The 27,548-nt window shown below is 48.2% G+C and overlaps 1 protein-coding gene and 1 long non-coding RNA gene across 22 annotated transcripts in view, besides 5 other annotated features; one reads left to right on the top strand and one right to left on the bottom strand.

Moving 5' to 3' along the window:
- NPAS2 (neuronal PAS domain protein 2) overlaps positions 1-27,548 on the bottom strand; it is a 178,107-nt gene that overhangs the window by 10,157 nt on the left and 140,402 nt on the right. For 16 of the 21 annotated variants that reach the window (XR_007075420.1, XM_047444506.1, NM_002518.4 and 13 more), the window contains 9 exons: positions 22,497-22,615; positions 21,730-21,812; positions 20,907-21,013; positions 18,245-18,392; positions 15,599-15,683; positions 11,729-11,870; positions 11,106-11,215; positions 8,874-8,963; positions 4,296-4,442 (listed from right to left, as the gene is read on the bottom strand). Coding sequence is in view for 20 of the 21 variants with exons in the window: in XM_047444506.1 (XP_047300462.1) it covers positions 4,296-4,442; positions 8,874-8,963; positions 11,106-11,215; positions 11,729-11,870; positions 15,599-15,683; positions 18,245-18,392; positions 20,907-21,013; positions 21,730-21,812; positions 22,497-22,615 (1,031 nt within the window). In the remaining variant the exon portion in view is untranslated. Of the gene's footprint in view, positions 1-729; positions 4,061-4,295; positions 4,443-8,873; positions 8,964-11,105; positions 11,216-11,728; positions 11,871-15,598; positions 15,684-18,244; positions 18,393-20,906; positions 21,014-21,729; positions 21,813-22,496; positions 22,616-27,548 lie in introns of those variants that run through there. The other 5 variants (XM_047444515.1, XM_005263960.3, XM_017004217.2 and 2 more) reach the window with 2 other exon arrangements.
- Positions 1,576-1,715: a silencer, noted in NCBI's record as "silent region_11817". NCBI's record gives its function as "represses an Ori minimal core promoter by ATAC-STARR-seq in GM12878 lymphoblastoid cells {active_cell/tissue: GM12878}" and the evidence as "EXISTENCE:reporter gene assay evidence [ECO:0000049][PMID:35858748]".
- Positions 1,576-1,795: a biological region, named in NCBI's record as "ReSE screen-validated silencer GRCh37_chr2:101601340-101601535".
- Positions 1,600-1,795: a silencer, noted in NCBI's record as "fragment chr2:101601340-101601535 (GRCh37/hg19 assembly coordinates)". NCBI's record gives its function as "represses an EF-1alpha promoter that drives an FKBP-Casp9 reporter gene in an ReSE screen in K562 erythroleukemia cells {active_cell/tissue: K562}" and the evidence as "EXISTENCE:reporter gene assay evidence [ECO:0000049][PMID:32094911]".
- Positions 2,727-3,226: an enhancer, noted in NCBI's record as "H3K4me1 hESC enhancer chr2:101599909-101600408 (GRCh37/hg19 assembly coordinates)". NCBI's record gives its function as "activates a minimal SCP1, AML or CMV promoter by ChIP-STARR-seq in primed H9 embryonic stem cells {active_cell/tissue: H9 hESC(primed)}" and the evidence as "EXISTENCE:reporter gene assay evidence [ECO:0000049][PMID:30033119]".
- Positions 3,227-3,728: an enhancer, noted in NCBI's record as "H3K4me1 hESC enhancer chr2:101599407-101599908 (GRCh37/hg19 assembly coordinates)". NCBI's record gives its function as "activates a minimal SCP1, AML or CMV promoter by ChIP-STARR-seq in primed H9 embryonic stem cells {active_cell/tissue: H9 hESC(primed)}" and the evidence as "EXISTENCE:reporter gene assay evidence [ECO:0000049][PMID:30033119]".
- Positions 9,512-14,025, top strand: NPAS2-AS1 (NPAS2 antisense RNA 1). Its single transcript, NR_110213.1, has 3 exons — positions 9,512-9,957; positions 11,260-11,388; positions 13,830-14,025. It is a non-coding gene; the product is annotated as an NPAS2 antisense RNA 1 (long non-coding RNA).

Below are 27,548 nucleotides of genomic sequence, written 5' to 3'. Positions count from 1 at the left end.
GACAACTTTTGTAATTTTAATAATAATTTAATGACAGACCTGAAACTGGCTTTTTAAACAAAAGTACCTCTTGGGTATTAAAAACATCAGATGGCACTGTGTCTATCATGATTCTCAACATACACTGTTCCAGTCCATCAGGCCCTTAGCCTGGAGTTCTTTAGGGGGAAGGCTCTCTGGCTCCCAGCATCTGACGTTTTTCACCCCATTCCTGTACTCAGTGCAGTCCCACCTCATATGCAGTACAGGACCGACAGGCTGACATCTGCTGAGTGTCAGCGCAGGTTTGGAGAGGCAGGCGAGGATCCCACCATGCAGGCGCGCTGGGGAGACTTACGGATCAGTTCGCTCAAGCATCTGTTTCATGGGTGGGGTCGAGCCACTTACCAGAGGCCCGAGATGGGCAGGTGGCTGAGCTGGGGCTGGGTTCTGATCTTTCTACCATCCCACGGGACCTCCCCAAACTCCTCTCATGCCCCACCCACCACAGAGAAGCCTGCAGTTTTGAAATGAGGACTCCTTGTCACTTTAGAAATTAAGAAGAATTTTCTGGGTATCCATCATTTTACACATTTTGAGGATTCATGTTTCATGCAATCCCAGCTCCCTATTAAAATAAGACTCATTTATAGCACATAGGGCAACCTATACTTCATCACTTCAGCAAAAACCTAGTAGTCAAACCCAATTACCATGCGTTTTTCTGGTAGGACACAATTTACCTTTTGATTAGAGTTTGAATAAATCCAACCTTTATTGATGAGAGGCAGTATAATTTACCTTAAAGCAGACCTATCTTAGCTCAAATTCCCACCCTACCATTTACTAGCAGTATGGCCTTCGGCAATTTTAATAACTTTTCAAAGCCTTAGTTTCCTCATTAGTAAAAAATAGTGACATTAAAAAAAAATAGTGACATTAAGAGCATATATCTTATTAAGGACTAAATGAAGTTAATGCATATAAATGACCTGAGACATAGTAAGTACTGAATGAATGTCAGATAATAACATTCAAAATGAAAAAAGGAGCTTTTTCCTCCTTCGCCTCTTTGGGCATATAAAAACTGTTTGATAAATGAATGAATGGAATAAATGCATGTATGAATGAATAAACATATGAATGGTGCTTTCACTCAGAGAAGGGCAAACTATGTCTGCTGGTGTTATTTATGTAACAGACTGTAACAGCAAGGTGTGCTACTCTGTCCCATCGATGTATATCCTCTGACAGTAGAAACCCTGCCCTGTTTATCTTTCTGTATCCTCACAGTGCTTAACCACGTGCCTGGTAAATAAAGGGTGTCTGTCAGATGGATGGATGGACTAAAGGATGGATGGAAGGAAGAAAGGACGGGCAGAAGGATGTATAGAAGGGAGGGTGGCCAGAAGAAAGGATGGACAGATGGCGGCTGGATGGAAGGACGGATGGAAGGATGGACAGATGATGGCTGGATGGAAGGATGGATAGATGATGGCTGGATGGAAGGAAGGAAGGACGGATGGAAGGATGGATAGATGATGGCTGGATGGAAGGAAGGATGGATAGATGGATGGATGAACCAGTTGAGGAACACGTCATTTGCCATTGCTACAGGTGTCCTTCTAGGCATTCCTTTGAGCAGCCAGCAGAGGGCGCGCATGCTCTCAAAAAGAGCAAGAGGCAGCCTTGGAGGGGGCGATGGGCCTTTCAGCACAACAGCTCTTGTCCAGGTAGCCCCATTTTCATGACCCCATCCAGGTGCAAACACCAACAGCCCTTCAGGACTTCTTCCTCATAACCCAAGGTTTTTTTGAAAAAAAAAAATAGTAAGCATCACAGGCACATATAGCCTCGACGAAAGTTTTGAAGCAATGAAGTAAAGCATCACAAGTCCACTGAGGTTGGGATAAAGGCCACTGGGTGGGGGACTGGTTCCTGGTTTGCTGCTGGGCACAGCCGTACTTCTGTTTATCAACAATAAAGTAGAATTTTGTGGCTTAAGGAGATGGTGACTTAAAAGGGCTCTGAGGTCAACTTTATAGAAAACATAAAAAAAAAAAAAAGTTCTCCAAGTGGGAAAAGTTATCAGAGAAAACAAACCAACAACTTCTAATTTTCAAGAACAAACCAATCCTACACTCACAGATGATTTTTCATTAGTGTTATCTGCTTATTTCTACAAATACTTGTCATTACAGGACATTTTAGAAGTATACAAAATAGACAAGTAATATAATGAAACCTTGGCATCACCATTAGGCTTCAACAATCATCAGTGTTTTGTCATTCTTATTTTATCTATCCCTCTACTTTTGGGGGTGGGCTGGAGTCATTTCTACTTGCTTATTCTTCACACTTGAATCACACAGTTTAGTTTAAAAAAAACAAATATCACATTTTGGAACATATTTCTTTAAGTCTTACAAAAAAACAAGGCAGGCTCCTTGAGGAAATATCCTCTGTCTCGACTATCTGTGGATTTCCATGATCTCTGGAAAATTCCACTGCAAAGATAAGGCCTCAGGAATGAACACAGGGCAGGAAGGCACCGGAGGGTGCAATTCCCATGCCGGCCGGCTCAGAACATCCCTCAGTGCACTGTGGCATAGGTACTTTGGGGTTAACCAAAGGCATAGGTCACAAGGAGGAAAAATACTTTGTTATAACAGGAGTGAAAGCGATAACCTTGCTGCCTGTTATTTTAAAATTCAGAAAAGGCAGGAAGTAGAAAAACTCCAGGCACTGAGGGGGATGTTCATACGCCTACCTCAATTTTAGCAGTTTCTGGCTCGATTTCCCCCTTCCTGTTAGTGTAAAAATTCCATTAAAGTAATTGGAGTCAGGCAAGCATTGGGCTCCCAGTCAGGCCCTGGATCAGTGAGAAAAATATTCCAGCTGGGAAGGCGTAAGTCAAAAGCCACTTTTTACCTATTCTGGTAAAAGGTGGAATGGCAGCTCGGTGACTCCATTTCTTTTCACGAGAAGGCCGAGCCTTTTTCTGGTCAATTTAAGGGTGCACTGAGGAGGTGGGGAGAGCAGCAGGGCTCTGGCATGGCCCAGGCTGTCTGAGTGAAGCCTGCTCAAGGCGCACACGCCGTGTCTTGAGGGGAGCAGGTGGGGAGGTGGCCTGTCCAGGGCGGGGCTCTTCTCTTTAAGGTGAGCAGCCACCTCTGAGAGGCCTGTGCAGGGGCAGGAAGGGGAGGGACAGTGAGCATCTAGAAAGCCACCAGGAGTGCCCCTGAGGGCCAGGCGGAGCTGCTGGGACCTCAGCGAGGCAGGATGGCCAAATGAGCATCTCCCTAAGCCCCCAGACACCTGCACCACTGTGTATTAATCTCAGCGTGCACCGGCTCACGGCGCTGTGCCCCGACAGAACCCGCCTGTCACCTATGGTAGGTGTGGCTGCACTTCAGAAGCTGTGTGGCCAGGGGAGGGTCTGCGTAGATGGTGATGGGGGAAGCAACAGGGACAGTGCTCCAGCAGAGATGTTATTTCTGCTTCTTTCTGTCCCTTCTAAGGGTCTCCAAATGCTTAGTGCTCCCAGGGCAGACGCCAAGGTTAGCTAGAGTTACATTTACAATCAAAGGCTGGGTCAGAATCAGGCACTTCTGAAGATACACAGTCCTGGACTAATGTAAGTAAAACATTATATATTATTAAAAGAGATCCAATATGTAAAGGTTTTCCTCCAAAACAAAACAAAAAACAAAACAAAACAACACCTCTCCAAACAATTCTAATATCTGGGGGTCACAGTGAGAGCTGCTGCTGCTAGGCTTTGCAGAGCTTCCCTGCTGGCACACCACAAATGGGGAGCCACCCAGCTCCCTCTGCAGTCTCCAGTAGGCTGTGATATGGATATCATCATTTCCCACATCTCCCTGGATGCCTGCGTTGGATGAGAAACAACAGAGCTGCTTCCATCTCCTCCTGATGGCAGCCTGGGCTGGGAGCTAGGAAAGCAAAGTTATAGAGGTGCAGGGAGGTACTACCCAGGACCGAGGCAGGCATCCATGCAGGGCAATCCAACGCCAAGTGCACAAGTGCAAACGTAGGTGGAGGCAGTGAGCAGATGTGCCTGTCAGAGTGAGGGGCGAGGGAAGAGGACATCAGGGGTGTGGCCTGGAGGCAGGGATGGGGACCGGGATTTGTTCCTTGTCCTTTGCAGAGACTGCAATATGCTTTCATAAGCAAATGGGGCTTGGCAGGGCAGTTCACAGGGCTTGGGAGGAAGTCCTGGCTGCCCGGAAATGGCGGCAGGACCCCTTCCCACACAGCAGCAGGGACAGAGGCCAGCCCGGGAAGGGGATCACCTGGACGTTGGAGTCCTGGACCAGGCAGAGCTGCTCCTGGATCTTGTGGAGCTCTTCCTGTTGCCACCGGATATTGGCCTGCAGGATCCGCGTCCGCTGCTCTAGCTGGTCTTTGATGGTCTGGAACATGCTGAACTGTGCCGAAAACTTCAAGGTGGAGCCGAAAAACATAATCAGATGAAAGAGTTATTTCAGCCTTGCAGGCAGATCTTGCTGCTGCTCGGTCTGTACACTTCATTTCCGTCCCTTAGCCGTCTTTCCCAGCATCCCTAAGGAGCCCACGGCTGGGTCCTGGGCAGTGAACAGGGGCTGCAGATGAGGTCTGGGCATCCTGGGGGCCCCTGCACCAGTCTTTCTCAGGCTGGCTATGACAGCAGGCCCACCTGAATCTGCAGACCTGACTTACTGCCCTGCAGTCCGGGAGGGCCACAGAATTGGGACAGGATTTTGTAAGCAATGTTCACAAACTGATATTCCAAATTTAGAGAGATGAACAAATGGTTCTGGAGATGAATGTCAAAAGCAGGACATCAGAGAGTCCCTTTTCCCCCTCATTTAGGGCATAGCAGTTTGTACGTGACAGCTTCACAGGCATTTTTGGGTCCGGTCGTTATCCTAAATCTGATCCTGGCTCTCTCCAAAACAGCCTGGGATCATCAAGAACTTTTCATTCCCCCTCACCCTCCCCTCTCCAGCCTTACTTGCTACTATGCACGTCTCGGAAATCTGTGCAAAAAACGAACAAAACAATCACCCAGTCTTTGCCCCGAGGGCCCCCTCTCCAGTGTGACTGACCTCGGGGTAAAGACACGGTGATTGTTTTGGGTCTCCCCTTCCTTTGGACCCTTAATCCTTTCTGGGGAAGGAGGCTGGCCTTAGGAAACTTGCAGGTAGTCTCTGCCTCCTGTCCCGTCTCCCTCAACACAGGCTCCTCCGCTTCCAGGAAACACTGTTTGGGAGGGATGGCAGGAGGGGCCTGCAGCCCCTGCTCTGGGCTCTTCGGGGCTATGACTCCCATATCTTGAGGCAAATGAGTTTGCTAGATTCATTCTGTTTTTCTCTTTCTCCCTTTTTACCATGATTTAACCTCCACTCCCTCAATCTCTAGCCCAACAATCTCCCTAGTCTGTTTCCTGCCCGCTGTCTTTTGCAAATGCCCCCAGGGCCTCTCTCTTTTCCTCTGCCCTTTGACCTCCCAGACACAGGGAGGCAAGGAGAGCAGGAGAGTTGAGAAACAGGATGAAATAACTGAAAGCATAGCTTTTGAAGCAGCAAAATAATAATAAAAAGAACCAGTAAGAGTAAGAATAGCAGGTGCTGACATGTGCAGAGACCCTCAGGTGCCAGCTGCTGCCCCAGGCAAGTAGAGGTACGTGTGTTGTGCTTCACGACGAGCCCATGCCACCCCAAGAGGCTGCACCCTGCTGGAAATCACACAGCGAGATGGTGGCAGCACCAACATGTAAATCCCAAGTCTTAGGAGCTGAGCAAGGCCAAGAAGTTTTGCCCACAAGACACTCCCATCTTGACCAGAGTGGCTTTGACCTCAGACTTCCTTTAAAAGGAAGGTTCTGTTGCTACCCATGCATTTAAAAATACCTGTGCTGGGCCTGGGGCGGTGACTCATGCCTGTAATCCCAGCACTTTGAGAGGCCGAGGTGGGCGGATCACCTGAGATCAAGAGTTTGAGACCAGCCTGGCCAACATGGCAAAACCCCATCTCCACTAAAAAATACAAAAATTAGCCAGGCGTGGTGGTGGGCACCCGTAATCTCAGCTACTCGGGAGGCTGAGGCAGGAGAATTGCTTGAATCCGGGAGGCAGAGGTTGCAGTGAGCCGAGATTGCACAACTGCACTCCAGCCTGGGCAACAGAGTGAGACCCCGTCTCAAAAAATATATATATAAACAAAAATAACAAAAATTAAAAAAAACCCTGCGCTATCCCAGACTCACAAAAATCCCAGTCAGATTGTGACTAATCAGACCACTCTGTGAGGATTTTGAAAGGGAATTCAACGGAGAAAGCAAACGAGCTATTCCAAGTATTTAACGAAACACAAAAGCTTCTCTGGCAGGTTCTACGAAGTCGGGAAACTCAGCGTTGCCCCTTCCACCTGCAGTGGAGGCGGCTCATCGGTGCCCAGTTGGCTTGGAAAGGGAGTGGCGATGGGCTGGGTTAGGAGGTGGTGGCTGCCTCTCACGTTATTCGGATTTTTTCAAGGCCTCCCAGACACCCCATCATTAGGCCCTCCTTACCTTCTTGATGGTGATGTTTTTGATAAAGAGAGCTACTCTAATTTAAAGACATTTTAGAACCATAGTATGAAGAAAGAGGCTTTTTTGGAAAACCACCAGTTACCCAGATAACCGCTCCTCAGATTTTGGATTTCATTTTTCCCTTCTTTCCCTGAAGGGTGAGGGGAGTGAGAGAAAAATCCCAGAATCTCGTTGTTTCACATGAAGTGGGTATTTCACATGAAGTGGGAAGAACTGTGTGACTTGGAAAGTCAGTATTATGCAGGGATGTCTTAAAGAATATAGTTATTGGCTGGGCGTGGTGGCTCACGCCTGTAATCCCAGCACTTTGGGAGGTTGAGGTGGGCGGATCACCTGAGGTCAGGAATTCAAGACCAGCCTGGCCAACACAGCGAAACCCCGTCTCCACAAAAAATACAAAATTAGCTGGGTGTAGTGGTGCATTCCTGGTAGTGGTGCATTCCTGTAATCCCAGCTACTTGGGAGGCTGAGGCAGAAGAATCGCTGGAACCCAGGAGGTGGAGGTTGCAGTGAGCCAAGATGGTGCCATTGCACTCCAGCCTGGGCAAAAAGAGTGAAACTCCGTCTCAGAAAAAAAAAAAAAAAAAAAAAAAAAATATATATATATATATATATATAGTTATTATTAAATATAGTACACATGACAGACTAAGAAGTTCAATAAATGAAAAATCAGAATTCCAAAAGAGACTGCATCACACCATCGTGTCTTGTAAACACAGACATTCTTCATAATGCAAGACCCAGAAGTTAAAGACATTTTCATTTTATGCCCCTTTGGATTAAAAGGTTACTAATTTCTTACCAAATAGGCCTTGGAAATTTAAAGAGAAAAACAGTATTCAGGTTTTTTTTTCTTTTGGCCTAATGAGGGTGAATATAGGCAGTTTTAATGAGTAGATTCCAGAAGGGTAGCTTTTTTACACCAATCTTCAAGCCTGACTCTGGCAAGCAGCACGCGTTAGCATGTGTCTTACTCCAGGAATGCATGAGAGACCCCCACTAAGAGGGCATATGTTCCGAAATAGTTTTCATCAGTGGTGACAGATGTGTGCCAAGACAGAGAGGGGCACCTGCTGCTGAACTGCCGTCTGGGACGCAGCTCTAGCCTGTGGCCATGGTCTGGGCAGAGCTAAGTCTCCTATGAGGGAACTGAAGTCAGAGCTCAGGCCTGGGCAGGGTTTGTCACTCCCCGTGTTCAGAACTCCCTGCTGAAGCACATCCCTGCTGTCCCCCTGCCAAACCATCTGGCAACCTCCTACCCACCTTTCCGGGGCCAACTCAAGCGTCACCTCCTCCAGGAAGCCACGTCAGACTTCCCTGGGTAGAATATTTCCTTCACGGTTCTATAAAAACGCATGCCCTGCCACGGCGGCGTCTCTGTTTACATGCCTGTCTCTCCCTTTAGTTCTGAGAACTAAAAGCAAGGGCTGACTTACATCTTTACATCCCTAACACCTCGCTCACTGACTGACCCAAATAGTAACTCACCGAATGTTGTTGAAACAAGGATGGAATTACTCAGCAAAGCCGTAATCCTTTTCTTTTCTTTCTTTCTTTCTTTCTTTCTTTTTTTTTAAACAAATGTGATATTTATAGTGCTGGACTCACGGCTTTTAGATCCTTTCAGTCTTTCTATGACATGCAGCCCAATTCAGACCTTTTCTAAAATACCATGGCCAATTTGGAGTCGTAAAGAACAAGAGGAATGTGGAAAAGTGGCAAAGAGGTGAACAGAGACTGTTAAAAGAATTAAAAAAACAGACTCTGGACTTCTGCAGCAACTTGGATGGAGCTGGAGGTCATTATTCTAAATGAAGCAACTCAGAAATGGAAAACCAAATATCGTATGTTTTCACTTCTAAGTGGGAGCTAAACTATGAGGTCACAAAGGCATAAGAATGAAATGATGGACTTTGGGACTGGTGGGGCAAGGGTGGGGGGATGTGAGGCATAAAGGACTACATATTGGGTACAGTGTACACTGCTCGGGTGACAGGTACACAAATCTCAGAAATCACCCCTAAAGAACTTATCCATACAATCAAACACCACCTGTTCCCTCAAAACTACTGAAATTTAAAAAAAGAAAACCCCAGACACTGGAAAAAAGAACTTGGAGACGAGAGGGTGGGTGTGGGGGGAACCTCATGGCTCGACACAGGCCACACACACATTGGGAGGGACATTCCCCCACGTCAGGGCCTTGGTTGGGACCTAAGTGTACAAGACCATCAGCGCAGCACACTGCGGACTTCTGGCTTGAGAGGGGCTGCCCTTTCCTGGGTCCCAGACTCACCTGTGCCATGGGAGCGGGCGTGCTCTGCAGAACGGTCTGAGGCAGGAGCTGCTGTGTGAGGTCGCAGGACGATGGGGAAGGCAGAGGGGCCTGTGGGAGAGAAAGGGGCTTTGTTACCACTGCTTCTGCCATTCCAGGGGACAGGGATGTGGTCTCTTGGTCCGGTGGGTTCTCTGCGTTCCGCACTGGGGTGAACAGCTCCAAGTCAAGAGTTCTAGAAAGTATAGGTGTCTGTTCCCTGGCTGCACTGCTTCCTACGCAGGGCACAAGGGCAGAGCCCCTGCACAACTGGTGCAGGCTTCCACCCCACCACAGTGTGCTCTGCCAGGCTGCTGCTACCTGCCCAAGCCTGGTAGCTCAGCTCTACTTCCCTTCCCTTGCCTGCTGTCCTGGACTCCGCCCTGGGTGGATTTGGTTGCTCTCCTCCCAAATGGATTAATTCTTAGCGGTGTCATCAAGCAGGACGACGTGCGTGGACTGCTACCATGAGCTGCTGTGCGTCCGTATCTTTTCTGCTCAGCGCTAATGCAGATGGACAGACACGCCATGCATGTTTGTCCATGAACTCATCCAGGCAGTGAGGACTGGGGCAGTTTCACCAGCCTCTGCCCAGAACCTTTTAAGAGACTCCTGGGAAGTGAGCTGAGTCACATCTGCGCTCCCTGATCACTCGGGTGGGTGGGGGAGACAATGTATAGTAACAAGAAATGAAACACTCTGCTTCACGGGCTAGTGGTTTTCTAGTGGTTTTTTTTTTTTTTAAAGAACAGTGAAAGGACTCGTCTGAAGTTATTCCGACACGGCCCCTAGTTGCTAGGGCCTATATAAAAAAGCAGCTCAAATGGAAAGTGTCACCCAGGACAGCATTGGGAGGAAATGACACCAGGAGACCTTGTTTCAGTGAGAAATCCCAGGCACAGGGCTGATCCAGAAGCTGGTCTGGGTTCTGTTTCCCTGCGCAGCTGGGAGGAGACAGAAGCACTCTGGGCCTCCGTTGTTGGCAAAGTGAGTCACACTGGACAGGAGAGTCTGGAAGAATGGCAGGCACAGCTTGCAAGCGCATCTGGAGGTGGCTGGAGAGAAAGTAAGTGGTCTTTGCCACATTCTACTTGAAAATAAAACGCATCGCCCAAGCTTCTCAAGCAGGGTGTGCACAGCCTTTATGGAGACAGCAAGCAGGAAGGTGGCACGTTCACTCCATCTCCAAAGTGACAGTGAAGTGTGGGTGGGAGGGGTTTGGCAACTATCTGGAGGTGGCCCCTAAAATTCCTGGGTACTTCTCCCGTCTAGAAGTGGAGGTCTATATCCCTCTTCATGGGTGAGCTCAGGGCTGCTTTGACCAAGAGGTATGGCAGTGGTGATACTATATGACTTCCGTGGCTAGGTCACAGAGGTCTGCATGGTTCCTGCCTGCGTCTCCAGGTGTCTCCTCTTGGAACCTGGAGTCCACCACCATGCCAGGAGAAGCCTAAGGCTTGAGAGGCCCATGCAAGTCAATGACGGATGGCCTCAGCTGAGCCCAGCCCTCAGCCACCCAGCCCGGCTGCTGGACATTCATGTGCAGACACCATCTGGTGGGTGCATTCCATAGCCTAGGCCCACGAGATCCCCGACACCAAGGAGCAGAGAAGTGCCATCCCCATGATGCCCTTTCTGAATTCCTGACCCAGACTCCATGAACTTCATACATGTGGTTGCTTTAGGCCACTAAGTTAGGTGTAGTTTGCTACCTGGCAATAGATGACCAGAGTGGTGCATGCCAGTGACTTTACATATAGCCAGGGCCATACATCCCGATGTTCTGGAAGGATCTGGCACATGTTGGGGACGCTACCTGATATGTGCAGAGGTACATTTTTGTTGACACTGAGCTGCTCAAATATTTTCACCAGCATGAAAGGGGATTCAAAACAGAAGAATCCTAATTGTGTAGCCCCAGGGGCTCTGGGGGTATGAGGGTATGACCCCGGGTTTGCAGTTTTGCCTTTAATCCTTAAAATTCACTTGGATTTTGTATTCTAATGGATATGCATCCATGTTAATTTTGTCATGCAAATGTTTAAAATTAGTTGCCAATTAAATTACTTAACTTCCCACCCCCATCTGCCACCCTACACTCTCAATCCCTAAGTAAAACGGATTCTCTGGGGAGACGCAGCACATCGCCTGGCTCTGCAGCCCCCACCACATTGTAGCGTACACCCGTGGAGGAGTTTGGGGTCACACACTTACCGGCATGGTGGCTGCCTGGCTGAGCCCGGGGACAGGTAACTCTTGGGGCAGGGTGGCTGATCTTGGCAAAGCCGGGGTGCTGGCCTCTGCCATCAGCTTGGTGGGAGTGGCTGTAAGAAAGCAACGAATGACCTTCTAACTTCCATGTACTTAGCATGTACTCATCCGAAGAGGGGACCCATGACCGTGGTGTGCACAGTACAAGAGCTCGCTTGGGATCTCTGATAAAGGAAGTCCACCATGCAGGGTTGAGCTGAACCACAGAAGCCCAGCCTGGGAGCAGGTAGGAGACACCACAAACACTCCCTAAACTTCATTTCGGCTGCTTGGTCCAATGAGCTGCCTGATCAGACGCCTCCCCAGAATTACTAAAAGCAGTCAAGGGATCAGATCTGTGCACAACCCACTCAATGTCTTTGCTTGGCAATGAATGGATACCAGAGTGTGGAGAGGTGATCAGGAGGCGGGAAGTCTGGGAAAGGAAAGGAGGAGTATAAACTGCACGGCAACCTCTGTCGGAGGCACAGACTGCCCTGATTCCACTTGGGCCCGGGACCCTCTGTGGGGCTGTCCCTCTGGTCTGATGTGGACATCCCACTCCCCATCCATGGACTCGCACTCACAGGTGGGTTCTGACATGGCTGTGTGCGAGGATTTGTGGGAACTTCTTGAGGACGCCGATGGCGAATGACTGGTATTAAGGCCCGAGGCACCCACGTCGAGTGTGTTAAAGTGCTGCCGAGGTTCCAGGCTTGAGCCCTTGTCCTGAAACACACACATCAAACAGTCCTCATGTCAGCATCAAGAGGAAAGAATCAGTGGGCGTGACTTTAGTTCTAAATATGTCGACAACCTCAGAAGCTGCTGAGACAAATACCATAGTTGTTTGGGGACGATTCCAAAGATGCTTGGGTAGAGTATATACATATACGTAACCTAAAGCCTCAGAGAGGCTTGCAGCCGAAAAGCAGCGTTTATTACCCTTTCTCGCCTTTTGTTTTTATTATTTACATTTTCGTAACTGACTTTCCATTTTATTATTTCCTCAACATTGTCACCTCACCACCCAGCATCTTGACTTTCCAAGAAGGGGGAAGGAGGTTCTAGAAATAAGGTTGCTGCTGGCAGTGGACTGTAAACTCATCCACTGGGACAGGTGCCTTTGGACCTTCCTGGGTCCTTCCCAGGCTTTCTCCTGTTACTCATTCTCTGCAGCCTCAGTGTCCCCTGGAGTGGAGAACCGGGGAGGGCAAGGGGTCTCCTGTCTTTCGACCTCTCGCTCCTGACTGACCCTGGCTCCCAGGATGTCTCTGCTTCAAATACAGTGTGACGAGAAAGCAGCTGTGACAGTCTGACTCCGAAGGACCGTTTTTCCATCCTCTGTGGCTTAGCTGTTATAGGCACATGAAAACAGGGGCTGGGTTGGGGCTGGGTGCGGTGGCTCACGCCTGTAATCCCAGCTCTTTGGGAGGCTGAGGCAGGCGGATCATTTGAGGTCAGGAGTTCGAGACCAGCCTGGCCAACATGGTGAAACATCGTCTTTACTAAAAATACAAAAATTAGCTGGACGTGGTGGCAGGCGCCTGTAATCCCAGCTACTTGGGAGGCTGAGGCAGGAGAATGGTTTGAACTTCGGAGGCAGAGGTTGCAGTGAGCTGAGATCATGCCATTGCACTCCAGCCTGGGCAACATAGTGAGACTCTGTCTAAAAAAATAATAATAAACCAAACAAAGGTTGGGATAATTTTTAAGCTAAAGAAGAAAACAAAACAGTGATTACCCTCCTGAGCCGCATTCCTAGCTAGTGTTAGAAGAATGGAAACTGCCAGCATCTCTGGGCTATGTCAATGGGCTGGTCTGTGTCCCATGGCCTTGGGTATGAAATCCCATGCGTGCGTCTGCGTGGCCGTTTTGTCTTTTGTGTCACGGCTGCAGTGGGGGTGGATATTGTACACCTACAGTAGGAATGAAGTGACTGACATGTGACCTACAGGCCTTTGTGCAAAACAGAAATACCAGATGTGGCTGGATGTGCTGAGGTAAATGGCAATTTGGGGACCTTGCTGCTTGGTTACAGTTTGCCTTTGACCAGGCTCCTTAGAGCGGGGTCCCTGGACCACGGCTGTTTGTGAATTATGTGTTCCTAGTCAGCAGAGAAGTCGGTCCAGGAAGCGAGAATAAGCCCGGAGGAACCTTGATGCCCATTTGACATCTCTGCACATCACGTCCACACACGGGAATCTGCATTTTACAAATGCACTGCACAGTGACAGACAGCGAAGCTATAAAAACCAAACTGGTTCAATACCACGGATAGTTTGGGAGCTTTTACTTTAAAGGGATTTCTTAACCCAGTGCCCAAGATTGTGTTTGTATTTTTTTTTTTTTTGAGACGGAGTCTCGCTCTGTTGCCCAGGCTGGAGTGCAATGGCGCAATCTCGGCTCACTGCAACCTCTGCCTCCTGGGTTGAAGCGATTCTCCTGCCTCAGCCTCCTGAGTAGCTGGGATTACAGGTGCACGCCACCATGCCCGGCTAATTTTTGTATTTTTAGTGGAGACGGGGTTTCTCCATGTTGGTCAGGCTGGGCTGGAACTCCTGACCTTGTGATCTGCCCGCCTCAGCCTCCCAAAGTGCTGGGATTATAGGCGTGAGCCACCGTGCCCGGCGATTGCGTTTGTATTTATACATATATGCATTTTGATGAGAAGACATTCTTTCGCAGGGCTCCAGGACTCCCCAAGGATCAGAAACCTCAATGATAAATTTCCGACTGGATGATACACACTACACCTGTTCTTCAGCGATGATGTATGGTGTGTCTAACATCTGCCTATTAGCAGCTGAATTCCCTTCTATGACGTGATACATAATGTATGGTGTGACACAGCTGGGTAATAAACAATGTCAGCTGCGTCCTATCAGCGTGCTGGTGATGAATTGCCATGGAACACACCACCACATGGCACAGCAGCCGGGGAGGCTCTGCCAAGGCACCCACTGCTCTCTGATCTTGAAAGGTGATTTCTCCTTCCTCCCAACTTGGCCCTTCAGGGGTGAGAGATGCTTCTGTTGGACCACAGACAGCCTGAAAGACTGGACCATTGCTGTGGCACCAGCCTCTGGCCCAAGGCTCTGGATTCGCAGTCACTGGGCACCCTGGAAGTTGAGCTTCACCAGTTCTAAGAGGTACTCCCCTCTCCAGCACTCACATTTGAACACTTCTGAAATTAAGACGTGTCCTTCCGTTGATGAAAAGAAACACTTGTTTCAGAGATTGGTTGGCAGCAATTTTTCTCTCAGTGGGAGAAATCAGGTGGAGGCCAGGCACAGTGGCTCACGCCTGTAATCCCAGCACTTTGAGAAGCTGAGGTGGGAGGATCACTTGAGGTCAGGAGTTCGAGACCAGCCTGGCCAACATGGTGAAACCCTGTCTCTATGAAAGACACAAAAATTAGCCAGGTGTGGTGGTGGGCGCCTATAATCCCAGCTACTTGGGAGACTAAGGCAGGAAAATTGCTTGATCCTGGGAGGTGGAGTTTGCAGTGAGCCGAGATCGAGATTGCACCACTGCACTCCAGCTGGGGCAACAAAGTGAGACTTTGTCTCAAAAAAAAAAAAAAAAGAAAAATTCATATGGATCTTCCAGTTGACACCTTCCTTAACTTTGATGAAATACAACACTCCCTCCCTTTCTTGCTTTTTTTTTTCTCCCAACATTTGTGTCTGCTTTAAGAATGGACTCCGAGGAACAGGGCTCTGGTCTACTTGCAGATGATCCCCAAGGTTCCCTGAAGCTGTGTGATGGACCAGGACCAGGGACAAAGAGACGTCTGGCTAGGCAGAGGCGAGTAGAGGGCTCAGTGTGTGGAAGGAAGGATGGAAGAGACTCTGTGGAGGGAAGGCCTTTCTACAGCAGGGCTCGCTGACCCAGAGCTGGCTCCAGCATGATGTTCACTAACACCCCTGGACACAGAAATAGAAAGCACAGGTGACAGGGAGAGTGGCGTGAGGGCAGTCTCCCCATAGGGTGCCTGGGTCCTGGAGGCAGTGCCACGGCCCTCAAGCAAAGGAAGACCAGGGACTCTGGAATTCCTCCACAACCCAGCCGGGGAGGGAGGAACTCCCCCAGTGTCTTATCTGTGGAGGAGATGCCGAGTGGACTCACTGGAGACATGCTTGTAAGGCTGGAAAGTCGCCGAGCCGTGCTTTGAGTCCAGGGGCTGTGTCTAGCCCAGCTCTGCAGGCTCTTTTTTTTTTTTTTTTTTTTGAGATAGAGTCTTACTCTGTCATCCGGGCTGGAGTATGGTGGCACAATCATAGCTCACCACAGCCTCAATGTGACGGCCTCAAGGGATCCTCCCACCTCAGCCTCCTGAATAGCTTGGTTGTACCCTTCCATTGATGAAAAGAAACCCTTGTTTCAGAGACTGGTTGGCTGCATTTTCTTCCTAGCCAACCTTTGCCGTATCCATCTGGCAGGGATGGGCGTACCTTTAGTGCTGAGGAGTGGAGGGCCTCGGATGGCGGGTCTTCCAGAGCCAGCTCCTGCCTCCTTTCCACCCGGACATCTGCGTAACTGTACAGGAAATTAAGAGACCACAGTGGAGATGGGGCATTCCAGGAAGGGATGACACCACCTGAACAGACAGCAAGGTACATCGAGGTTCTCTACGTAACCCCTGCCCCCCACAACAGTCAACACAGAGGAGCCTAGCCTGTGACTTGTTGGAAGGAATGAGCGTCGTTCTCTGCCTTAAATTCGACCTGAGTGACTTATAATATTACATTCAAAATCTTTTTATTTCCAGGATGTCTTTATTCCCCTCTCATTTACTATTCTTTTTACTTCCCTGAAATCTCCAATTGTAATTGTCTTTAAAAAACACATTTTCGTCTATGGGATAAGCTTCTGCCTTTAAATAATTAGAAGGCTTTCTTAAAACCTGCTCAGTCTGGACCGTGCATATGGAAGAGTGACACAAAACTTTTTTAGTAGTTACATTTCTCAGAAAGTTTCCTCTCAAACCAACCCGGACTAGCCAAATCCAGACTGTAGATGAGCCCACAGGCCCACTTTTCAGCAGTGTGGGTAAATCAACTCAACACAGGGACGCCCAGCTGACCCTACAGTGCCTCTGCCCCGAGTGTGGAGACCCTGGGGCAAGAGGCCTTGGAAAGCAACGTGGCTCCTGGGCCTCCGGAACGCCTGCCACCTGATTCATTCACTCTGTTCTCTTCCTCCTTTCTCTGAGAGTTTCTTCCAAGGATTTGAGAGGTGGAGGATGGAGAAGAAGAGCTGGTAGAGGGCACAGCCTGAAGGGTGAGGGGTGAGTGCTGCCCAGCCTTCCCTGGGGGTAGGGGGCCCTTGGGCAGAGGACCAGGCTGGGTGGCAACAGGCGGCTGCCATGGAGTCAGAGACCACTGCTGCTGCACGCCCAGTGGCAGGCTGGGAATCCAAGATCAAGTCCCTGAGCGAAGGCATGAAGTGTGGTCAAGTAGAATCAGGGTCATTTGCTGCTGAAAACTAGTGTTTCTCCCCTCTTCTGCGTGTTAAGGAAGAATGGCTGATTTGGTGACCTGATACATGTATGGTGTGAGTGTGTGTAGTGTCTGTCTGTCTACATCTGTCTGTTACATATATATAGTCATGTGCTTATGGGACATATTGGTGGTTCCCTAAGATTGGAACACTGTATTTTTACCGTACCTTTTCTGTGTTCAGATACGTTTAGGTGCACACTTACACCTGTGCTATGGCTACCTGTAGTGTTCAGTGCAATAGCATGCTGTACAGGTGTGTAGCCTAGGAACAATACACTATACGGTATAGCCAAGGTGTATGGTAGGCCACACCATCTAGGTGTGTCCAGTACACTCTATGGTGTTTGCATGATGACAACATCACCTAATGACACATTTCTCAAAACATATCCATCATCAAGCAGCAAGTGGCTGTATATAAGAAATGCATATGAAATTTCAAGTAGGTTTTTCTAATTTTATGGAATACTATGCAGCCATAAAACAGAATAAGTTCATGTCCTTTGCGGGAACATAGATGAAGCTGGAAGCCATCATCCTCAGCAAACTAACACAGGAACAGAAAACCAAACACCGCATGTTCTCACTCATAAATGGGAGTTGAACAATGAGAACACATGGACACAGGGAGGGGAACATCACACACCGGGGCCTGACAGGGGTGGTGGTAGGGGACAAGTGGAGGGAGAGCATTAGGACAAATACCTAATGCATGTAGGGCTTAAAGCCTAAATGATGGGTTGATAGGTGCATGGCACCATGCACCATGGCACATATATACCTATGTAACAAACCTGCACATTCTGTACACGAATCCCAGAACTTAAAGTTTAAAAAAAAAAAAAAAGAAAGGCATGCTGTCCTTCCAACTTTTCTTTCTTTGCCCTTCTCCAAGGCTCCTCTGTAGGCCAGCTTAAAACTAATTTACGTTCTTAAAATTTCCGTAGTCGGGGAGAAGACCATTTTCCCCTTCATCCTTGGGAACAGTGACCCCACAAAGGCAGCATCTATGAAACCCTGGGCATGCCGCGTCTCTTTAAAGTCCTGCTCACCCGCCCTGGGTGGAGGGCTCCCTGAGGCCAGCAGGGACCTCCCAGGAACCCGCGCCCACTGGCAGCCAGGCTGTTTTCCCAACACTGCCTCAGTTGCCAGCAGGGGTTTTTAAAGCATTAAAAATAAAGGGGAATATGTGTTTGAGTTATTTAGAGGTAAAATTTAAATTTTCTACTCAAAGCAGGAACAAGGGAAGGCTGTGGGCTGGATAGAGATGGGAAAATATGTAAGTAGGTCAGTGAAGCAGTCACTTACTAAGTAATATCCTGGCAGCCTGCGAGAGTCCATGAGGCGTTCAAAGGGGCCTGACTGAGAGCTTGAAAGGAGTCTCAGCCCTGGGAGGGCAGAGCCAGTGGTGCCTGGAAGCGAGCTGAGCTCTGGGAATTGTGCTGTTAACGGCAGGGGATGGCCTGGGCTTCATCTTCGAAATGGGGAACACCTGAGTGACTGCTGATCTGACTTGGCCATCAGGGGCCACGCCATCCTGCACCCCTCCCCCAGGTGCGACAAGGACGCAGCCGCACCCCTGCCCGTGCGCGGTACCTGACCACCGAGTGTGTGCACACGATGAACTCGGGCTTGGAGTTCCACTGATGGTAGGTGATGTAGTAGTGAGTCTGCAGCCAGATCCACTGCTGACCTTTGGTCAGAAACCGGTAGCAACACGACTTCCCTTTGCCAAACTGCATCACTGTCGGTAGAAAATGGATTCCGCATATAACCAATGTTAATATGAAAATGATCTTTTCCCCAAGAGTTATTGTAAAGATAAGCTTTCAAAAAAAAAGACAATACCAAACATGGCTTGTTTCCCCGGTTGCCCTGTATTTTAAGTGACTGTCAGGATCACGGTACACTGTCGTGAATTCTTAAACAGTGGAAGAGTGATCCATATACTTTCCCAAATGCTCAGACGCTTAAAGAGATCCTCAGATAAGGGCAGATGCAGACAGATTTTCAAACTGCAGGTTTAATGAAACAGAGGCTCAGGTTTGCCTGGTGCTCATCCTCCCGCCGCAGGCAGAGCTGTCTTTGGAGCTGCAGGAGCCCAGGAGAGAGCATCCAGAATTGGCCCGAAAACAGACCTGCCAGCCAGCAACCTCTGGACGGATTCTGTGGCTGCCAGTCAGCAGTTCATGCCCAGTCGACACAGTTCTCAAATAAAGAGTCGGGGACAGATGCCTCCACCCCAGGCTTCCCCCTTCCCCAGAGCTGCTTGCAGCCCCCCCATAGTGATGTCTGCTGGTGGCTTTTCTAGGGGTGTCCAGAGCAGAATGGATGCTGATGGTGTATCAAGCCTGGGCAGGGCAGAAAGATGGACTACGGATCCAAGGAAGAAGAATGATTTGGGTTTTATTGCCATAGTGCCTGGAACTTAGCACCTCTTTAGGTAAATGGTTAAGAGAAATCTCAACTAGGAAACTAACGCTACAAAAGGACACTGATGGCTGGGCACAGGGGCTCATGCCTGTAATCCCAGCACTTTGGGAGGCTGAGGCAGGCGGATCATGAGGTCAGGAGATCGAGACCATCCTGGCGAATACGGTGAGACCCCATCTCTACTAAAAATACAAAAAATTAGCCGGGTGTGGTGGCGGGCGTCTGTTGTCCCAGCTACTCACGAGGCTGAGGCAGGAGAATGGCGTGAACCCGGGAGGCGGAGCTTGCAGCGAGCCGAGACTGGGTGACAGAGTGAGACTCTGTCTCAAAAAAAAAAAAAAAAAAAAAAAAAAAGGACACTGACTTGGAGAATGTGATTATCTGAAGAGGAGATAAGCCCAGCAGATTGAGGGTGTGGGCTCCACAGGGCAAGGAGGTCTTGCCCAAGCCATGGAGAAGCCTTTCAATTGCTGAATGTAATTCTTCACTTCGGGATCTTGTTAAAATAGACACTCTGAGTAGGCCTGATTCTACAAGTGTAGCAAACTTCCCGTGATGCCTATGCAGTGTGGTCCTAGACCACGCTTTGAGGAGCAAGGAGTTACAGTTTTAATGATTAGCTTTAAATTCTAACAGCCGATCCAGATGGAACTCAAGCCTATTCTTCCTTCCCTCTCCACAGAAGAGAAAGTTCTAGCCAGGCACAGTGGCTTATGCCTGTAATCCAAGCATTTTGGGAGGCCGAGGTGAGCAGATCATTTGAAGTCAGGAGTTTGAGACCATCCTGACCAACATGGTGAAACCCTGTCTGTACTAAAAATACAAAAAATTAGCTGGGCGTGGTGGCACACACGCCTGTAATCCCAACTACTCTAGAGGCTGAGGTGGGAGAATTGCTTGAACCCAGAAGGTGAAGCTTGCAGTGAGCCGAGATTGCGCCACTGCACTCCAGCCTGGGTGACAGAGCGAGAATCTGTCTGTCTCAAAAAAAAAAAAAAAAAAAAAAGTTCTAATGGGTACTACAGGTGAGGCATCTTTTAAAGCACAATGTTAGTGGTCGATTCATGCATTAGGATCAATAGGTCAGTGTTCCTATTTCAAGTTAAGAGTTGGCACTGAAAATACAGCTGTAAGTGGTTAATTCTTGAAACCACTTGCTAAGTGAGAACTCGGACAAGCTTGTAATTCTCACTCCCCCACATCGTAAGTCCCATCCCCCATACATTTGCTAATGTGTTCGCCTCGTATGTGGCAAAGAGCCTTCCCTGAACCCCAGCTGTGAGGGTCCTCTTGAGTCCCCCAGTATGCTGTGTACATCCCCTTCAATGCACCGACCACATCCCACAAAGTCACCCATTTCTGGCTTTCCCAGAAGACCTGCCCTGCGGGACAGCAAGTAGGTACTGATCATCCCCATATGCCAGCCTACTCAGTATCTGGCCTATGGTTAGTGACCAATACTTATCTGCTGATGAAAGAACAGTTATGAGAATTCGGTATTTTATCTCTGAAATGTATTGCATAACTTAAAAAAAAAAATCCCTGCATCACCTTAATTTCTTAATTAGGTTTAAACAGGGCGCCTATCTGGATGACAGTGGGAAGGTGCTAGGGTTTGGGGCCAAGTGAATTCCAGTGACATGGGGGTAGACGCGGATAAGGGGCCTCCACCATGCCCCCAGATCATCTCAGAGAAAACCAAGTTCCTCACCTTAAAAAGAAACCAGGTAACGAGCAGAGGCTTCTGGAGTCCCAGAGCCCTGCTGCTGGGCCCCAGTGGAGTGAACGCAAGGCCCCCATGCCTGGGCTGGGCAGTGGTACTCACGGTGCTGGTGACACCTGGCCAGGAGCTCCAGGTCATCAATGTGGTAGTAGTCATAGCCTGAGGTTCCCAGCACTTCAAAAGGCAGGTATCCTATGATTGGAGGTGCTCTGCACAAGGACAAGGAGGACTTGTCATCAGGGAGGAGACACCCTGCAGGGCTCACCCTGGTGGCCATGCCTTTCCATAATGATCAACATGGAGGCCTCATTTCTCAAGAACAAGGGGAGAAAAATAACTTTGTAATGGTCAAAATCAGAGAGGCTGTGTTTTCCAAAGGGCTCAGCTTTTTTTTTTGGCATATAGATACTCCTTTCCCTTGGCATAACTTGGCCCAAATAACAATAAGCTTTATCACTACTGGGTAATTAAAAACAGCTACAAATTGGATCAGCCCAACACCAAAGTGTAATATAAATTAAAGGGTGGGGAGGGGAGATTTGGAGTTCTTCAACTGCAAATAATGTTACAAAAGAAACAGTAAAGATTGGGCTAAAAGATCAAAGGATGTTGAAAAAAATGAGATGAGAGATTTCTCTCACACTTGCTGCTGCCTTACTGGGAGCCGGGAAGGGCCTCAAGTGAGGATCATCCCAAAGATGGCCCGGGGCTGAGCCATCAGACCCAAACACAGAACATATTCACGATGGGGCAGATGAAGTTGGAGGGAAACCACCCACCCTTGGCAGGGACGACTTTTCCTAGTGCCAGAGAGTCCTCCTCTTTCAATGGACCAGGGCCGACTCTTCTCTCCCAAGGAGAGCCTGGCTCACGCAAACAAGACTTGAGAAGGGCCCAACCCAAATATGTTTTTCTTTTCTCAAACCTGTGATCCAGAAATAAAAATTTCCATTCCAAGCTATGCCTTGAAGTGAATTCCTCTAAAGGTTCGTCAACTATGCACATTTCCTGTATTGGAAGCAGAAAAAAAAAAAAAGTTGCTTGGGTGCCAGATGCTCACCCTAGGTTTGTTCAAGAGGAACGCGTGGTGGGTAACAGAAGTTAAAATCATTTCGAGCAAGTCTCCAAGTCGTGTTGGACTGAAACTCATCATCTGTAGCTAATTTCGGTATTAGCTGATACTAAATTTATTTCACAAGCTAGGGAAAAATACCTAGGAGCCAGAATGTCACACCATCCCTTCCCATTATCGAGAAGTGGCAAACATGTGGAAAATGGCTTTTCATCGGAATCTGAATTACTCATTTAACTCAACATTCATGCCATCGATGTTGAAGCAATCACAGATGAGAGAAGGCAGACAAACCCCCAGCGCTCCAACACTCGGTTCTCACCCAGGCCTGGCCTGCATGGTATTAACGCCGGTGTGAAAGGTGGGAAGATTTACAGTTATCAGACAGCACTTCTGCGGGCTGAACAGCAAGCGATGCTGCCTTCAAAGAGAACCACTTGCAGGAAACGGGGCAGGGGAAAGGGCGTGTGTGCAGGCACAGAAGCCAGACACTTCGATTTTCAAAGCCAGTGACAACTTCACTGCAATTTATTCCCTCCCAAAAGACCATTAATTACATATAACAAAATGTGAGTCAATCATAACAGCTCCGCACAATGAACTGCCTCTCAGGTACTTGCCTTTAAGAATTGTGGTGTTGCCAGACGAACGGTGGCAATGAAGCAAACCTCCTTTCCTAGTGGCACCCGGCAAGGTCTTGAAAGGGTGTTGTCAAAACCATTACAGGAGGGGCTAGGCACTGGGGGGTTGGGAAGAAGAGGACACATAGGTTAGCCCTGTCTGGTGACAGCAGCCAATCCCTAGTTGGCACTTAACTGTAAGCCAAGCGCTGCCCCCAGGGTTTATGTAGAGTATATTAACTCATTTCATTTTCACAACTGGATGAGGTAGGTCAACTATTATTCCCATTGCAAAAAGAGGAAACCGAGGAACAGAGGGAAGTAACTTGTGCAAGACCAAAAAGCTTGCTAGAGCTGGGATTTGAGCCCATGCTGGTCACCAGCATTCAGCACTGCCTCTCACTTCCACTAGCCCTATGGCTTATAATGCTGGGAAAAATAGTCTACAAAATGAGAACACAGGCCAGGCACAGTGGCTCACGCCTGTAATCCCAGCACTTTGGGAGGCTGAGGCGGGAAGATCACTTGAGGCCAGAAGTTCGAGACCACCATGGCCAACACTGTGAAACCCCATCTCTACTAAAAAACAAACAAACAAACAAAAACAAAAATTAGCTGGGCATGGTGGTGTGTGCCTGTAATCCCAACTGCTTGGGAGGCTGAGAATCACTTGAACCTGGGAGGCGGAGGTTGCAATGAGCCAAGTTAGCACCACTGCACTCCAGCCTGGGTGACACAGTAAGACTCTGTCTCCAAACAAAACAAAACAAAACAAAACAAAACAAACAAAAAAAAGAGAAGACAGCCTCATTCTGCAGTAACGGTTTGAATACTCCAGCCAGTGTTTTAAGGTGAATTCTATAATCAGTGTTCCTGATACTGATGGTCCCAGGGAAAGTAGGGGTGTCTCGGCATCATTGACACCCCCTTCCCTGCCCCTGTCTTGGCTGGCATACCTGGGGTTCAAGGGCCTCTGTCCTGAAACTCCCCCTTGGGAGCCCAGGCTGATACAGGGGTTGGGTCTGGGCCACTGAGGAGACAGGGCTCAGGATTTAGGGGTCACCCCCAGAGGAACACAACGCCTACAACAAAACTTGCTAGTTCCCTAGTGTGGCCCAGGTGACAAAATCTGCTCTCACGCATCTTCTTACATCTTCTCAAACATCTAGGAGGGCATTACTGTCCTAGGCCCGGAATGGTTCTATAATTAACCACGGTCACTCAGAAATAACAGCAGGGATGCCATCAAGTTTTTGGGCTCTAGGCCCAGGGTTCTAACAGGGCAGAGGGGGGACTGTCCTAGGCCCACAGCCATGGGCCCACATCATGATGCCGTCTCACACCTGCAGTAGCCTCGGCAGAGTCTTCTCTGTGGGACTTGGTCCCTGCCTCCAGGGCAACTGTGGAGAACGGACTGACCTTCTGGGCCAGAGAAAAAGTTAGTTACTTTTAGATGGAGTTTTTTAGGTGGGATAAAGAACCCTGTTAAATAGGAGAAAAGCCAATTTACTACGTACGTGGAACTCTCAAAGTCGTCCACGGGTGGGGTTCCCTTGGGACCCTGGGCACCGCTGCCTGGGCCCTAAACAGATCAGCTAATTCACAAACTCTGGGGTGAAGCCCAGGCACTGGCCTTCTCAAAGGCTCTGCAGGTTCACCAGTGTGCAGCCAGGCTGAGGATCCCAGGGCTGATAATCTGTGCTGCGTTTTTCACAATTATATCCTGCACATTCTGAACTGGAATATCATGATGTTCTCCAAGTTAATGAGGAACATATCGAGCATCAGAAAGCTAAATCATTATAAAATGAAATCTGCAAGATTTTCTTTGGATTTTAGCTTTCCAATCATTTTTTTAAATATATATATTTATAGGTTTCTAAAAGATTCTATAATGTGGTCTTCTCTCCACTAACATGAATAAATTCATTTTACCAAACATATTCTCTGAATTCATTCACATAAATACTAATGTTTCCAAACATGAATATAAAGTGGGCAAAATAAAAAACAGTGGTCTCTGGAGAGCTTACATCTGTCACAAGTTGGCTTAGGCTATTGCAAATGAATTTGTAAGATGAGCCAAGAAACTTATCAAAGGGAAGGAAAACAATTCCACATAAGGGACGGTTCTACAGATGTGAACATCCGCATAATTAAAAAAAAGAGACATTTGAAAACTTCCCAGATGTGAAATACTCTCTCTGCTAGAATCTAAGACATATTACCCAGCCAGATAATGACTAATAAAATTCTGACTCTTTCAGAATACCAAGACCTTCCAAACAAACTTCTGAGGGCCTCCCAGGAATTTAAGAGAAGGCCTCCCCCTTAATCTATCTCTAAACGATGCAACATCTTTGAACGATCTTTCAGCTGTTACATTCCTGTGCTCTGTCAGAAATGCCTTCCCCTGATTCACTGTGATGAGGAGAAGGGGACAGAAAAAGATTGTGAAGTGGGAGGCCCTGGTTGCTTCTTCGAGGGCAGCAGCGACCTGGACCATGGACATTAGGTGGATGTTTTGCAGAGCTTACTGTTGGCCTGGCTGCCCCCATAATGCAGTTTTATCTGCCCTTTTATAGCATCTAAGTCTTTAAAGATAAAAATGCACCCCCCAAAAGGAAGTTTCATTATTGTTTGTAGCCTGCATTTGATGAGCTAGATATTTTACAGATGTCCAGAACGGGGCAACTTCTCTCTTCAATATGCCTTTCCCACCAAAAAACTTAAAAAAACTGAGGGCATGATCAAGGGTGATAATAAATCAAGGATGAATGCTTTAATAGAGGCCAAGGAGAAAACCTTGGGGAAAACTAAGGCAAAGAAGATACTTTGAACATTTTGCCAGTTGCATTTGAAATAACTTTTTCCTGCAGCACGAGTCTTCTTGCATATTCTAGAGGCAACACAGGTGCAAACTGCTCCCTGGGACTTCCTAGTCATATTTAGCACTTAGAATAACTTCTCTGGCACTTTGTATCCCAAGGTAGTTTAAAGACATTAATTAAGGATTCAATTAGTTGTTTCAATTTAAGTAATAGAAAGAATATATCTAATTACAACTGGCTTCCTGAGACTCTCAGGATTACCCACTAACTGCAGGAGCAGCCCTGTTTGCTCAGATCTCTGACCACTCACAATATAGAGAAAAGCAACTCATTCTTGCTACATTTTCCCTCCTAGGGTCATCTTACTCAAAATTGACCTTACTCTTGCCGAAAGCTAAATATATAGCCTTCCCCATGGCAGGAACTGGGGCTCATTCTCTGTCTCCACCTCTGAGCACACAACAAGTGCTCAACATGTGTTTATCAGATGACTCTCCCATGAGATGGCCCGGCTCATCTCCAAATCCTAGCTTAAGGTCCAGTTCGGGAAGACACCATCTCATCCTTGCCAGCAACTAGCACACAGACCTTGGGACCCCAAGGTGGCTTCCCCTCTGCAGTGTGACCCACCTTGGTGCTGCTGGTGGCCCGTTCACTCTGCCAGCTGTGGGAGGTGCCCATAGCACATGGCCTGGGTTCCACTGGCAGGCAGGTGAGCTCACTGCCCGACTGATACATTAACACTAGTCAGCAGGAGGCCTGCTGCAGTCAGGGAAACTGCTGCAAATCAGCATACGGCAATCACCACTCTGTGATGGAAAACAGAGCAGGTGCGTGGCGTGGTCTTCTGCTTGCGGAGATGCAGGGCTAGCTTGCTTTTTGAGACAGAGTCTTGCTCTGTGCCCCAGGCATGTGCCACAATGCCAGGCTAATTTTTGTACTTTTAGTAGAGACGGGGTTTCACCATGTTGGCAAGGCTGGTCTCGAACTCCTGACCTCAGGTGATCCACCTGCCTCAGCCTCCCAAAGTGCTGGGATTACAGGCGTGAGCCACCGTGCCCGGCCTCGTGCTATCATGATGGTCTTTCTATTAAAACAGTCCACAGGTTATCACGTCCTGAAACTTTCATTACACTGTAACTTCAAAGACCCTGAGAAAGTTTTGTCTTGGGCTGGTATTCTTGGGATTCCAAAACCAGGAGAGTCCCTGGGACTCAGAATGAATCATGTCTGCCTCATTTGGAAGCACCCAAGGTTGGCTTCCAAGTCTGTCTGATGACAAAGGTGAGCTCCCAAATCAGCCATGATGAGGAGAAAAAGATGACTATGAGGGCAGGAAGATCTCAGGTGGTAGAGAACTTTTTTCAAAGGGCTCAGGAAGGAGCAAGGAAGATGCAGAAATGGTAATAGCATTAGTTAACAGCAAAAGAATACAAAGAGCTGGAGAAAGATGTCTGGCTCTGTTCCACTGAATTACCAGCTCAGTCATCAGAACAATTAAGTATTCTCATCAGAGACGACCTGCTTATGATAAATTAGTTGCAATGGCTGGAGGAAAACATACTAATAGTCCACAAGGAAGTGACAAATAGCTTTCTCGGCACTTCTCGAAACAAATGAAAAACAAGTCTGACAGGTGTCTGAGAAGATATGAAACTATCAGTGATGAGGTTTCGCTCCAGGAAGAATAAAGTTGTTAAGTCCCAATCGTGATAAACATCCAAAACATTCAGGCTATGGCTTTGGAATGTTGAGGGGAAAATAACTTTCTGCACATTCATGAGGAATCATCTCCCACTAATTAAGCACTATTTTCAGACTCTTATTTTTCTCTCTTCACAATGTGCTTGACCCAATGTGTTCTGAATAGCCAGGTGGCTGGGTTCCTAGGAGAGCACCGTGATAATCCTGCCCACTTCTTGGCAGGGGCACTGCCTACCTTACCCAGGGCATATTTGATCCTTTCCTTTCTGTTTCCTTTGTTTCAGCTGTGTTTTGCATAGAGAAGAGCAATGTTGGAGAAAAGGCAGGAGCCACAAGAGAGAGCTGGGGCTTTGCAAAAAAATTTTTTTTTTTTGAGACAGGGTCTCCTTCTTTGCCCAGGCTGGAACACAGTGGTGCGATCTTGGCTCACTGCAGCCTGGACCTCCTGGGCTCAACTGATCCTCCCACCTCAGCCTCCTAAGCAGCTGGGATCACAGGAGTAAGCCACCATGCCTGG

This window comes from Homo sapiens, chromosome 2 (genome assembly GCF_000001405.40).
Source record: "Homo sapiens chromosome 2, GRCh38.p14 Primary Assembly".
NCBI classification, from domain to species: Eukaryota; Metazoa; Chordata; class Mammalia; order Primates; family Hominidae; genus Homo; species Homo sapiens.
This window is presented reverse-complemented; position numbering and strand designations above follow the sequence as displayed.